The 15,898-nt window shown below is 35.2% G+C and overlaps 1 long non-coding RNA gene across 3 annotated transcripts in view; it reads right to left on the bottom strand.

Annotated features, from left to right (window-relative positions):
* LOC102724340 (uncharacterized) overlaps nucleotides 1-15,898 on the bottom strand; it is a 246,221-nt gene that overhangs the window by 199,705 nt on the left and 30,618 nt on the right. For all 3 annotated transcript variants that reach the window (XR_001739819.1, XR_923652.2, XR_001739818.2), the window contains exon 2: nucleotides 10,605-10,693. This is a non-coding gene — a long non-coding RNA (uncharacterized LOC102724340). The remainder of the gene's footprint in view (nucleotides 1-10,604; nucleotides 10,694-15,898) is intronic.

Raw genomic sequence — 15,898 nt, 5'->3', positions numbered from 1 at the left:
ACACAAGCCAAAAAATTTTTCATATTTTGAAATGAAAAATCAGCTCTGATGACAACTTGATTTTAGTGTAGCATAACTCATTTCAACTTCTGACCTTCAGAACTGTCATATACGTTTGTGTTGATTTAAGCTCCTAAATTTGTAGCAACTTGTTACAGCAGCAAAAGGAAATGAATGCAAATATAACTGTTCACATATAGTTAAGAACTATAAAAAGACAGCTAGGAGTCTTAAGTGAGTTTAGCAGATTAAAGGTCAATATACAACAATCAATTGTATTTCTATATGTTGTGATGAAACAATAGAAACAAAATTTGAAAAACAATATCATTTAAACTAAACTTCAAGCTACATCAAGTATAAATGAATCAAACAAAATAGGCACAAGGCTTATACACTCCTGAGATCATGCATACATTTTTGAGAAGCATATCAAAACCAGGATATTAGCATTGGTACTATTTGCCTATATAGTGCTATGCTATTTTGTCACATGTGTAAATCTACTACCATTGCAAACACTGCATTCAAGACAGATTCCATCACCACAAACATCTCTGTCTTAATATCTCTTTATAGTCAACTCCTATTCCTAAACCTTGCAACCACCAATCAGTTTTCATTCTCTCTATAATTTTGTCATTTTCTGAATGTTATATACATAGAATCAGACATTATATGATCTTTTGAGACTGGCTTTTTGCTAACAATAATTAACTTGAGATCTATCCAAGTTGTTGAGTGTATCAGTGATCTGTTGGGGACTTTTAAGATGGATGGGACCATGAGCCAAGGCACGTGAGCAGCCTCCTACAGTTAAGAATGACCTCTGTCTGACAGTGAGCAAAGAAATAGAGACTTCAGCTCTACGACTTCACAGAATTTAATTCTATCAACAACCCGATTAAGACTGGAAGTAGATTATCCTTTACCCTTGAGTCTCCAGATAAAAACCCAGGCTGACCAATACTTTGATTGCAGCCTATTGAGACTTTAAGCAAAGTAACTAGCCAAACTCACTTAACTTCTGGCCTACAGGAAATAGTCAATGAGTATTAAGCCATTAAAACAGCCCAGTGAAGCTATCTGGACCTGATTTATTATAATTGAGTTACAGCTATTTCTTCTTGAGTCACATTTGGTAGGTTATGTCATCCAAGAAATTTGTCCTTTTCACCTATTATCCATAGCAGTCTACTCGTCCATGCTTGATATTGGTGATGTGTATCTGCAGTCTGTCTCAAGGACTGTCACTGGTCCATCTGGGGGTTGATGAGGAATTCAGCTGGGGTTCTGGGTTGAAATATTTCTGCATATGAACTCACCGTGAACTGGGTTTCCTCAAAGCATAATAGCCTGGAAATTCTTACATGGTGCCTCAGGGATTCCATGGCTGCATAACAACAGAGCCAGGTGAAAACTATGTAGGCTTATATTACCTTATCTGATAAGTCACAAGCCTGTCTAGATTCAATCAGAGAGAATCTAGACTCTTCTTGTTGATGGGAGGAGTGCCAAAATCACATTTAAGAAGGGTTTGTGGGATAGAAGTTACTATTGTGGTTTGCTTTGGAAAAAAATACAGCCTGTCACAGTCATAAATATTTTCTTTAAAACCATCCTAAATCAGAACACATGATTTGATTTCCAGCTGCACTAGGTAGCATCTATTTGAGTATAAATTACCTTATTCAATAAACGGTTCTTGAGTGCTTAAAATAATGAGTGCTTAAAAGTTCTAGGTTCTGGGATACATCAGTTAAAAAAAAATAGACAAAGAGGCCTACTGTTATGGAAATTATTTTCTGGCAGCATTACATTTATATAGCATTTGGGAGATTTAACATTCTGAGAATTTTGTGAGCTACCATAAATAAAAATATCTGAAGCCATAAAATAGGAGTGTTGAATACACAGAACACATGCTACCACTATCTATTCTGAGCTCAAAATCGACATAATTAATAAAACCAATCCTCAGACTCCTCAATAGTAGCATGTTTGGTGCTGATTAACTTTTTTACACAAGTTGCAAATTATTGGTCAATGCAACTTTAAGGTATCAGTGATGGAAGATGAAATGAATGAAATGAAGCGAGAAGGGAAGTTTAGAGAAAAAAGAATAAAAAGAAAAGAACAAAGCCTCCAAGAAATATGGGACTATGTGAAAAGACCAAATCTACGTCTGATTGGTGTACCTGAAAGTGACGGGGAGAATGGAACCAAGTTGGAAAACACTCTGCAGGATATTATCCAGGAGAACTTCCCCAATCTAGAAAGGCAGGCCAACATTCGGATTCAGGAAATACAGAGAACTCCACTAAGATACTCCTCGAGAAGAGCAACTCCAAGACACATAATTGTCAGATTCACCAAACTTGAAATGAAGGAAAAAATGTTAAGTGCAGCCAGAGAGAAAGGTCGGGTTACCCACAAAGGGAAGCCCATCAGACTAACAGCAGATCTCTTGGCAGAAACTCTACAAGCCAGAAGAGAGTGGGGGCCAATATTCAACATTCTTAAAGAAAAGAATTTTCAACCCAGAATTTCATGTCCATCCAAACTAAGCTTCATAAGTGAAGGAGAAATAAAATACTTTACAGACAAGCAAATGATGAGAGATTTTGTCACCACCAGGCCTGCCCTAAAAGAGCTCCTGCAGGAAGCACTAAACATGGAAAGGAACAACTGGTACCAGCCACTGCAAAATCATGCCAAATTGTAAAGACCATCGAGGCTAGGAAGAAACTGCATCAACTAATGAGCAAAATAACCAGCTAATATCATAATGACAGGATCAAATTCACACATAACAATATTAACTTTAAACGTAAATGAACTAAATGCTCCAATTAAAAGACAGACTCGAAAATTGGATAAAGAGTCAATGACCCATCAGTGTGCTGTATTCAGGAAACCCATCTCATGTGCAGAGACACACATAGGCCCAAAATAAAAGGATAGAGGAAGATCTACCAAGCAAATGGAAAACAAAAAAAGGCAGGGGTTGCAATCCTAGTCTCTGATAAAACAGACTTTAAACCAACAAAGATCAAAAGAGACAAAGAAGGCCATTGCATAATGGTAAAGGGATCAATTCAACAAGAAGAGCTAACTATCCTAAATACATATGCACCCAATACAGGAGCACCCAGATTCATAAAGCAAGTCCTGAGTGACCTACAAAGAGACTTAGACTCCCACACAATAATAACGGGAGACGTTAACACCCCACTGTCAACATTAGACAGATCAACGAGACAGAAAGTTAACAACGATACCCAAGAATTGAACTCAGTTCTGCATCAAGCAGACCTAATAGACATCTACAGAACTCTCCACCCCAAATCAACAGAATATACACTTTTTTCAGCACCACACCACACCTATTCCAAAATTGACCACATAGTTGGAAGTAAAGCACTCCTCAGCAAATGTAAAAGAACAGAAATTATAACAAACTGTCTCTCAGACCACAGTGCAATCAAAATAGAAATCAGGATTAAGAAACTCACTCAAAACTGCTCAACTACATGGAAACTGAACAACCTGCTCCTGAATGACTACTGGGTACATAACGAAATAAAGGCAGAAATAAAGATGTTCTTTGAAACCAACGAGAACAAAGACACAACATACCAGAATCTCTGGGACACATTCAAAGCAGTGTGTAGAGGGAAATTTATAGCACTAAATGCCCACAGGAGAAAGCAGGAAAGATCCGAAATTGACACCCTAACATCACAATTAGAAGAACTAGAGAAGCAAGAGCAAACACATTCAAAAGCTAGCAGAAGGCAAGAAATAACTAAAATCAGAGCAGAACTGAAGGAAATAGAGACACAAAAAAATCCTTCAAAAATTAATGTATCCAGGAGCTGGTTTTCTGAAAGGATCAACAAAATTGATAGACCGCTAGCAAGACTAACAAAGAAGAAAAGAGAGAAGAATCAAATAGACACAATAAAAAATGATAAAGGAGATATCACCACCAATCCCACAGAAATAAAAACTACCATCAGAGAATACTACAAACACCTCTACGCAAATAAACTAGAAAATCTAGAAGAAATGGATAAATTCCTCGACACATACACCCTCCCAAGACTAAACCAGGGAGAAGTTGAATCTCTGAATAGACCAATAACAGGAGCTGAAATTGTGGCAATAATCAATAGCTTACCAACCAAAAAGAGTCCAGGACCAGATGGATTCACAGCCGAATTCTACCAGAGGTACAAGGAGGAACTGATACCATTCCTTCTGAAACTATTCCAATCAATAGAAAAAGAGGGAATCCTCCCTAACTCATTTTATGAGGCCAGCATCATCCTGATACCAAAGCTGGGCAGAGACACAACCAAAAAAGAGAATTTCAGAGCAATATCCTTGATGAACATTGATGCAAAAATCCTCAATAAAATACTGGTAAACCGAATCCAGCAGCACATCCAGAAGCTTATCCACCATGATCCAGTGGGCTTCATCCCTGGGATGCAAGGCTGGTTCAACATACGCAAATCAATAAACATAATCCAGCATATAAACAGAAACAATGACAAAAACCATATGATTATCTCAACAGATGCAGAAAAGGCCTTTGACAAAATTCAACAACTCTTCATGCTGAAAACTCTCAATAAATTAGGTATTGATGGGACATATCTCAAAATAATAAGAGCTATCTATGACAAACCCACAGCCAATATCATACCGAATGGGCAAAAACTGGAAGCATTCCCTTTGAAAGCTGGCACAAGACAGGGATGCCCTCTCTCACCGCTCCTATTCAACATAGTGTTGGAAGTTCTGGCCAGGGCAATCAGGCAGGAGAAGGAAATAAAGGGTATTCAATTAGGAAAAGAGGAAGTCAAATTGTCCCTGTTTGCAGATGACATGACTGTATATCTAGAAAACCCCATTGTCTCAGCCCAAAATTCCCTTAAACTCATAGGCAACTTCAGCAAGGTCTCAGGATACAAAATCAATGTACAAAAATCACAAGCATTCTTATACACCAATAACAGAAAAACAGAGAGCCAAATCATGAGTGAACTCCCATTCACAATTGCTTCAAAGAGAATAAAATACCTAGGAATCCAACTTACAAGGGACGTGAAGGACCTCTTCAAGGAGAACTACAAACCACTGCTCAATGAAATAAAAGAGGATACAAACAAATGGAAGAACATTCCATGCTCATGGGTAGGAAGAATCAATATCATGAAAATGGCCATACTGCCCAAGGTAATTTATAGATTCAATGCCATCCCCATCAAGCTACCAATGACTTTCTTCACAGAATTGGAAAAAACTACTTTAAAGTTCATATGGAACCAAAAAAGAGCCCACATCGCCAAGTCAATCCTAAGCCAAAAGAACAGGTAGCTGGAGGCATCACGCTACCTGACTTTAAACTATACTACAAGACTACAGTAATCAAAAGAGCATGGTACTGGTACCAAAACAGAGATATAGATCAATGGAACAGAACAGAGCCCTCAGAAAAAATGCTGCATATCTACAACTATCTGATCTTTGACAAATCTGACAAAAACAAGAAATGGGGAAAGGAGTCCCTATTTAATAAATGGTGCTGGGAAAACTGGCTAGCCATATGTAGAAAGCTGAAACTGGATCCCTTCCTTACACCTTATACAAAAATTAATTCAAGATGGATTAAAGACTTACACATTAGACCTAAAACCATAAAAATCCTAGAAGAAAACCTAGGCAATACCATTCAGGACACAGGCATGGGCAAGGACTTCATGTCTAAAACACCAAAAGCAATGGCAACAAAAGCCAAAATTGACAAATGGGATCTAATAAAACTAAAGAGCTTCTGCACAGCAAAAGAAACTACCATCAGAGTGAACAGGCAACCTACAGAATGGGAGAAAATTTTCACAACCTACTCATCTGACAAAGGGCTAATATCCAGAATCTACAATGAACTCAAACAAATTTACAAGAAAAAGCAAACAACCCCATCAAAAAGTGGGTGAAGGACATGAACAGACACTTCTCAAAAGAAGACATTTATGCAGCCAAAAAACACATGAAAAAATGCTCACCATCACTGGCCATCAGAGAAATGCAAATCAAAACCACAATGAGATACCATCTCACACCAGTTAGAATGGCAATCATTAAAAAGTCAGGAAACAACAGGTGCTGGAGAGGATGTGGAGAAATAGGAACACTTTTACACTGTTGGTAGGACTGTAAACTAGTTCAACCATTGTGGAAGTCAGTGTGGCGATTCCTCAGGGATCTACAACTAGAAATACCATTTGACCCAGCCATCCCATTACTGTGTATATACCCAAAGGATTATAAATCATGCTGCTATAAAGACACATGCACACGTATGTTTATTGCGGCACTATTCACAATAGCAAAGACTTGGAACCAACCCAAATGTCCAACAATGATAGACTGGATTAAGAAAATGTGGCACATATACACCATGGAATACTATGCAGCCATAAAAAATGATGGGTTCATGTCCTTTGTAGGGACATGGATGAAATTGGAAATCATCATTCTCAGTAAACTATCACAAGAACAAAAAACCAAACACCGCATATTCTTACTCATAGGTGGGAATTGAACAATGAGAACACATGGACACAGGAAGGGGAACATCACACTCTGGGGACTGTTGTGGGGTCGGGGGAGGGGGGAGGGATAGCTTTAGGAGATGTACCTAATGCTAATTGACAAGTTAATGGGTACAGCACACCAACATGGCACATGTATGCATATGTAACTAACCTGCACATTGTGTACATGTACCCTAAAACTTAAAGTATAATAACAATGCAACTTTAAAATAGGCAGCAAAAATTAGGAATTTAGACAATTTCAAGTGGCCTCTAATTTTAGAAAAAAAGTCATGTTATTCATATCAGATAGATTTTTTAAATTAATTTTTTAAGGAATAAATGAAACTCCATGTGACAGTCTGTACTTTAGGCAGAACACATGAATGTCATATACATACATAATACATTAAAATATATTTACCTTGAAAAACATGCCAATCTGTAAATTGTTCAATTGACATAGCCAAATTTGAAAAATTAATTTAATATCATTCAAATAGTTTAGATTAGGATTAGAGTAAACATAGATTTTGCTTATAGGTGGAATTAAAATAGTCAAAAAAGGAAATAAAGTGCATACCCTTTTTTAGTAAATGTACCAGAGGGCTGCTACATTCTTTTATATTTAATTGAAAATTCCATGACTCTGAGTAATAAGTTTCACAGGAGAAAAGCAGAATTTTAAAATCTCTACCTCTCTAAAATTCTCAGATCCTGAGCAGTTTATAAATACAATAGGTATGTGTTCTTGGTTCCTTTTTTTCTTGCATAGCATAAATTACAGGTAAATGAACATTTGCAATTCAATAGTTATTCTAGAAATAAACTATATTGTAGTGAGTTTTTGCTGGACTTACATGGTTTAAGCTATTCTAAATACAGACCACACTCGTATGTATGTATATTTATATATATGTGTTTATTTATATATTTTTAAATGCATTTCTATTTATGCAAATGAATAACTCTATGAACAATTCATTTCTGCCATGCACAGCCAATCAACCTTCCATTAATAATGGAGAAAACTAAGTTCTTAATGGCAATTCTCCATAGGAATGGAGAAAGCTATAGTTTAAATGTGACAAAATGTCCCAAACTATCTTTCAAGCTTTTTTAAAAAATTACCACACAACTTTTTGTTCAATTCATTTCACAAGACAACTCAGTTTTTATGCTTATACCTCATTCTCATATAATTATTATGGTATAATTTAAGAGAGGTTTGATATTATAAAAGATATATTTATCTATAAAATATTTTTGGACATTATGTTTTGGGTCATAATCAGAAATAAATAATAGAGAAATTTGAACAGGTATATCTATAAATTATATTTTATATGTGGCATAGTGATCTTTTATTAATATCTCAAATCTTATTTCTAGTTATAGTAAAGTTAATTGTTTATGTGTTGTAAAAGAAAACAATGTGTCACGATTGTAAATGAGCACCAGGAATAAATGCAGTATTGTTTTATCTTGGAGTTACAATTAAGAAATGATGTGTGATGTATGTTTATTGTGGCAATATTCACAATAGCAAAGACTTGGAACCAACCCAAATGCCCATCAATGATAGACTGGATTAAGAAAATGTGGCACATATACACTGTGGAATACTATGCAGCCATAAAAAAGGATGAGTTCATGTCCTTTGTAGGGACATGCATGAAGCTGGAAACCATCATTCTCAGCAAACTATCGCAAGGACAGAAAACCAAACACCGCATGTTCTCACTCATAGGTGGGAATTGAAAAATGAGAACACTTGGACACAGGAAGGGGAACATCACATACTGGGGCCTGTCATGGAGTGGGGGGAGGGGGAGGGATAGCATTAGGAGATATACCTAACATAAATGACGAGTTAATGGGTGCAGCACACAAACATGGCACATGTATACATATGTAACAAACCTGCACGTTGCGCACATATACCCTAGAACTTAAAGTATAATAATAATAATATAAAGAGAAAATTATCTGAAATCTAAAAAAAAAAAAGAATTCTGACATCCAAAACTGGGAGAAAAATAAAATAAAAAAATGAAAAGCGAATACCAAGCCATCATCACATAAGGAGGTAATCAAAATATATATGGCCAAATAATGTAGGAAAAGGTGTTGCAGAGCTATGTCAGAAAGTTTAATTAACTTTAATTATTAATTATTTTTTCTGGAAAAAAATGATGTGTGAAACACAATGTATCAAAGTATGATAATTATATAAATATCATATTAAATAGCAACAGCAACTATTTATTTAATGATTAATACTTACAAACGCAGTCATAGCTTCTTCCTACACATTATATTTTGTAATCTTTACAGTAACCCTATGAGATAGGAAATTAGTATTATGCCCATTGTCAAGATGAGGAAACTGTGGCTTAGAAAGCTTAGTAATTTTATCAGCATATACCTCATAATTGATTAAGGCAGAAATCAAAACCTTATATCTTCTATTCCAACATCAGAGCACTACTGGATTACAGTGTTTCTTCAGCTGACTGAATTGCTTACGAGACTTCTTTCATGGAACGGGTCTTATGCAGGTAATATAATTGGTTGAGAATTTAAAAAAAAAATGGGAGATAAACTTTAATAAAGAAAAATTACCTAAAGGCCAAGTGAATAGTGATTAATGAAAACTGAACTCTATTAAACCATGTTATTTAATAAAATATTGATGTTTCCCCTTCATCTTTATTAAGAATAATTGTCTTTACAAAAAGTCATGATCCCATATTAATTAAAAGTTTATGATTTTGATAGGTGTTATTTGTAGTTCAATAGCTAAGTTATATGGAAGAATAAAAAGTAAAGTGGTAATTTTGTTTCAAATAATACATGGCCATTCATAGTTTTCATATTTTAAATGATGTTGTTGCCTACTCTTCTGTTATCAAACACATTTTGCCAGTTTGATTGATTGTGCTTGAAGTGGCTGCAGAATAATAGGTTTTATCTATCAGTTCTAAAACATAAGGATGTCCGCTTATTTGGCATTATATTTAAAAATCCTTAAGGCCAAAAAATTTATGTTTGTATAAAAATGTTCAAGTTTGAAAATTACATTTTGAAGCTTATTACAAACACCTTTGCTTACTCATCTTTATTGATGAATAATCAAACACTGTTAGGAGAAAATTACATTCAGTGACTATTTCTCATTCTGGTGAGACAAAAATGTGTGGCACTGTTTCATACTGCCATATGGAAAAATAGATATTTCAACTACAGCTGTCTCTGACAATTTATTTTCCTAAATCATTAAGTTATTAGGTTTGGTTTTCTGTATTTATCAGATTAATAATATAATTAACAACTTTCTACTTCATTTTATAGATAAATTTAATGTTGTCTGCGTATGTCCAAACATTTTACACCAGAAAATTAGACCAAAAATAGAATTTTCTACATCGGGGTGTGCGTGTGTGTGTGTGTGTGTGTGTGTGTTAGTCCGTTCTCATGCTGCTATGAAGAAATACCCAATACTGGGTAATTTATAAACGAAAGAGGTTTAATTGACTCACAGTTCCGCATTGCTAGGGAGGCCTCTGGAAACTTACAAACATGGTAATTCTATTCCAAGTCTAAAGACAAAGAAGAAGCAGGCACCTTCTTCACAGGGTGGCAGGATAGAGTGAGTGCAAGCAGGGGAAATGCTGGATGCTTGTAAAATCATCAGATCTCATGAGACTCACTCACTATCACAAGAATGCCACGCAGCAAACTGCCCCCACGATCCAATTACCTCCACCTGGTCCCACCCTTGGCACGTGGGGCTTATGGGGATTATAATTCAAGGTGAGATTTTGGGTTGGGACGCAGCCAAACCCTATCAGTGTGTGTGCGTGTGTGTGTGTGTGTGTGTGTGTGAGATTTTTGAAGCTTAGTGTGGGGTGTTAATTTTTAGACAGACTAGAGAAGACAAGAGATTATGTCACAATGTTACGGTAAATTGGTTATTGGAGTTGTCTGTGTCACCTGTGAGAGACTGAGCTGTTTCCAGTCGCAGTTCACATCTTCATGAGAGACAAATGGTGGTAGGCATCTTTTAAAGTTCCCGAAAGTGTCTGAAAGAACAAAAATGCATTGACTTTGAATTTCTTTTGTGAATTGTATCTTCCTCATCGGCAAGAAATAGATCCCTTTATAAGAAGCCTTAGGTATAAATACCAGCACGTTTACAGTCATTTGCTAGCTATTTTTATTTCTTCTCACAAGCTAACATTAAAAATCTCTAACATGTTTTAGATGTACCATAATCAGGAGAAAAGGAAGAACAATATTATTCCATCAAGAAATAAAACCTTTTTTTTTTTTTTAGAAGGAGTCTCGCTCTGTCACCCAGGCTGGAGTGCAGTGGCGCTATCTTGGCTCACTGCAAGCTCCACCTCCCGGAGTCACGCCATTCTCCTGCCTCAGCCTCCCAAGTAGCTGGGACAACAGGCGCCCACCACCACGCCAGGCTAATTTTTTGTATTTTTAGTAGAGACGGGGTTTCACCGTGTTAGCCAGGATGGTGTCGATCTCCTGACCTCGTGATCCACTCGCCTCGGCCTCCCAAAGTGTTGGGATTACAGGCGTGAGCCACCGCGCCCAGCCAAAATAAATCTTAAATTAAACATTTTATATATTAGCTCTTGCTGAAATAGCAGGCAATATGATTGATATGTCCCCACTTGCATAAAGATCACATAGCTACTGGTGTATAGTTTCAATCACTCAATTCTATTCCAAGTCTAAAGAGACTGCATAAGTAGTTCCAGTCACCTTTTGCAGACTCTGCAGGTAACGTTAGTTTTGTCTTGTTTGTCCATTTCTAATTTTTGAAACATGGCATCTCGTTAAACATTTCACCAGTTTTTCTCATAGTTCTGGGTTCTTAGTGGCAAAGGGGACAGTGCTTGTTAAATGCCCAAAATGTAGTTAATGAATGAAATAAATTACTTAAGAATTTGTAAAATAACTCTAGAAGGTAAGTACTATCATTCACATTTATATTAGGGAACTAAGTTATAATGCGGTTTAAAAATTGTCAAAAAATAAGGCTTCCAAGGGTCATAGCTGTGGCTTATTTCCAGGACTCTCTTGCCCCAATCTAGACAATACCACATCATTTGAAAATATTTTAGGTAATTGTATGAATTTCAACTTTATTTGCAGTGGATAAAAATGAATCCTAGCAAACTGAACAAATGACAGTGAGCTTTTTAAATTCATTTTAGTTGTTCATGCTTAGCTGAAACCAATATCTAATGGAAACATGACTTTCCACTTTGAGATGCTTATGTTTGTATGATGTTATAAAAATTGGATTAGTCTAATTTAACTTAATATTTTAATTACAAACAATTTCTATCAATCTAAACTTTTGGAAAAAAAAAAAAAGACAACCTAATTGTCTTGCAGTTTGACAAAGTGTGATAAGGCAGTTTAAAGAACCAGGCAAACCACTCCTGGAAGTCCAGTCTTTATAGAATTCAAAAAAATCTGACTTAGCCTGCTCATTCTAGAAAGGGTTTGATCATTGGACAAATTGAATATTTTTAGTTACTCAATTTTACATTATCTAAGAACTGACATTCCTGTGATTTACTTCCACTTTCCCTTCAGTTGTTGGACACACACCCATTGATTTCGCCTTTCCCCAGTGATGTACTAGTTCAAAGCAAAGCTGTGATCGATATTAAATTTTTTTTAATTTTCTTTTTTTGTTTCAAAATTATTTTAAAATTCATCTCCTCAGGTCATACCTACTCTGAAATATCATGATCTTTTGTCTTTTTGTATTTTTACTTGAGACTACAAAAGACTTTCAAACTCTATATTAAAAATATTTCCCTACATTTATAAATGACAACCTAAGGTCAAGAATTTGCCTTCATTTTTATATTAATTAGATAATGGAGACTTCCAGTATTCTTTCTCAAAGATAGGATGATACATAGGCCAGCACTTTTGAATCCTAAAGTCTTCCAAGTCTAGTCATTATTGCTATTCAAATTACAGTTCTTTTTGTTGGCCACATACTTTCTGCAGTTGTCTCATTGTTTAAATCCGTTGGTAATTTTTGGTGTCACTTTAGATAACTAACTCTTAGAACCTATGCACAGAATCGTTAGTTTGCAATGTTTGCTCAAAAGGTCAACAGCTTTCAGAAAATTCCTATAGAACCCAAAGGCTAAAATACATTCAAGATGCCTTTAGTATCTCCGAGCGTCACTTTCCTTATATCTACCTATTGATTTGTTGCTAACTTGATAACATTAGATGGTCATTGTTGAACAGCTCAGGAAGACATGAACTTTACCCATTTCGAAAAACAACCATTTCAATGAAACTTAGACAGCAAAGTTAAGCATAGGCTGGCAACAACTGAGGAGGATTCCTCCTTGATAAACTGCTATGTCATTGAGCAAGAATGAAGTTAATGTACTTCTTGCTTATAATGGCTCCCATTTTCCCTACTGCCAGCCCTCCAGGTGAACACTATGTATTTACTCCTTTATGGCTGGCCACAAAACCAGCAGCTTTGTCAACAGAGGTGGAGGATTTAATCTGAGAAGAAGTAGAGTGACCCATGGATTTCATGGCTTCCAGTGAGGAAGGACTATCTCAGAAGCCACAGCTCTGTTTTTCAGGACAGGACAAGCAGCAGAACAAGTAAAAATTAATTTAGAAATTGTGGAAGTGAGAGTAGCATAGAATTTGTTAAATAAGGTCTCTGTATATCCCGAGCTAACTTTAAATTATAAATGCTTAAGAGAGATCTGAGAGATTCTGGTAAAAAAAAAAAAAAAAAAGAAAAAAAAAAGCCAATGGAGACTTGAAATTTGGCTGCAACTTTGAATAAATTTCTCCAGGTACATATAATTGAGTTCACAGAGAAGGAAAGCCTTGAGGCACGAATGTGTTATCAAAATTTGCCCACATTATTGGCTAAAAACTAAACATAGTCACACGTGTGACTTTTGAGAACTATAATTAAAAATAAAAATGTTAAAAAAATAACTGAGCAGACATATCAGTGACAGCATGCTTTGAAAGACAGAGATTTTTTCATTTAAGTTTAAAAAAAAGAAACAATTACCCTCACAAAAATAAAAAAATTCAAAGTTGTTACCATTAAACATTATTAAATTTGTTTAAGCAACACATAATTGATGGATAATATTGCACAGTATTTTTGAATTTTTAACAAATCTAGATGAAATATAGATGACAATAATAGCACAAAAATGACAAAATACAGCTATGCTAGACATAATTCCTATAATTTACCAGAATTAAGAGACTGCTAGCCTAAAATAAACTATGATTAAATCAAAGAAGCATATTGCAGTCCATGCAAAAAAAAAATTCAAACATATATATATATATATATATATATAGCTAAAAATTCAGAAAATAAAAGGATACACTAAAAATATTTGTTTAACACAAAGCAGAAACAAGAGTAAAAATGTTAGGAATAACAAAGATATGAGACATGTCATAAATTTCTTTAATGAAGTTACTTCCTTGACATCCATTTTTCAGTTTGATATAAGTTGCTTAAAACTCAGTTGTACCTGTAACCTTTGGCTTAAAACTTCCCCTCCCCATGTGATTGTTTGTAATATAGTCCACTTGTTCCTTATCCCATTGACTCAACAACCAAACCACCCACAGCTACTACTGAATATGATAAAACCTAATGTTTAATGCCAGAATTATGTAAATGACTTCTCCCTTCACACTCCATCTTTAAAACAGCTAATCACAACTCCTGTGTGAATGTCTAAGGGATAATGATCATGGACCTTAATGAAGGTGTAGTTCCACAGGTCCTCTCCTGCTTCCTATTCACTGCTTGAGTTCCCTGCCACATCTGGACTTCCCATTGCCCCCCATATCATCACCTCTAATCTTTCTGGGAACTGTAAGTAATATCTTTCTTCAGTGTCATGCATTTTGTTTTTGCCTCCTCATTGTGTCTCATTTAACCAACCCACCTAAATCTAAACCTAACCTTTCTGGTCAGTGTTATCTCTTAGAGAGTAGTTTTATTCTTGGAAAGAAGAAATTGAACACAGGTCAGACAAAAGCTACAAAGGGGTCTGACAGTATAAACAATTTTCCTGTGAGAAAGACACCTGGTTATGGGTGAGACATTTAAGCACTGGGCCATCTGCCAGGTTTAAAAAAAAAATCTCATAAAAGACATATTATAAATGATCCACAACAAAATTCCTGGAATTTCTCATTAGGACAGGGCTAAATCATATGGCCAGTCTCAAGGTAGGGCATCAAAACCAAAATAGAAACTATAATGACATAAATCACAGCAAGGCATCTAGAAACCAAATAAAAAATGGCAAAAACCTTATTTCAAAACTTATATTAATTATCTTGAATGTAAATATACTAAATGCTTCAAAATGCCAAGTCAGAGATTGCCAAACTGAATAAAACAGTCAAGATACAATTATAGGTAATCCGAAAAAGAAGCATTTTAATTTCAGAGCCACAAAAACATAAAATAAAGGAATAAAAAAGACATCATTCAATCAAAACAATAAGAACTGGTGTAGATATATTAATGTCAGACAATGTAGACTTTAAGACAGGAATATTTTTACATGTATAGAGAGATATTTCATAATGACAATATCATGACAACAGTTCCAAAATAATGCAGTAAATTTGACAGACTAAAAAGACAGAAAACCAGTAAGAACATGGGAAACTTTAACATTATTAAAGTTGATTGAATTGATTTATATAATAAAATCCACATAATGTTCAAGTTTACCTAGAACATTCTTCAGTATAGACCATATAAAAGGCATTTAAGATTTTTCAATATCTTCAATAAAAGACATTCTGTGAGCACAATGAAATTAGGTTAGACATCAATAACAGAAAAATGGGAAATCCCAGAAATTTTTTAAAAAACGATATACTTAAATACCCTAGGTGTCAAAGAGGAAATCATAAAGAGAATTTTAAAACAAGCTTTGGAAATATTAAAATGCAGTCTATTCTAAAAGCAGTAGACAAAAACATCCGGTAAACTGCAAGGAAAAACCTATCTGCAGACTTCTCAGCAGGAGCCAGAAGGAATTGGAGTTCTGTCTTTAACCTCCTTAAACAGAGCGACTGTCAGCCAAGAATTTTGAATCCCACAAAACCAAGTTTAATAAATGAAGGAGAAATAAAATCATTTTCAGACAAACAAAAGCTGAGGGGATTTGTCACTACTAAACCAGCATTACAAAAATCCTAACAGGAAT

This window comes from Homo sapiens, chromosome 2, assembly GCF_000001405.40.
Source record: "Homo sapiens chromosome 2, GRCh38.p14 Primary Assembly".
NCBI lineage: Eukaryota > Metazoa > Chordata > Mammalia > Primates > Hominidae > Homo > Homo sapiens.
This window is presented reverse-complemented; position numbering and strand designations above follow the sequence as displayed.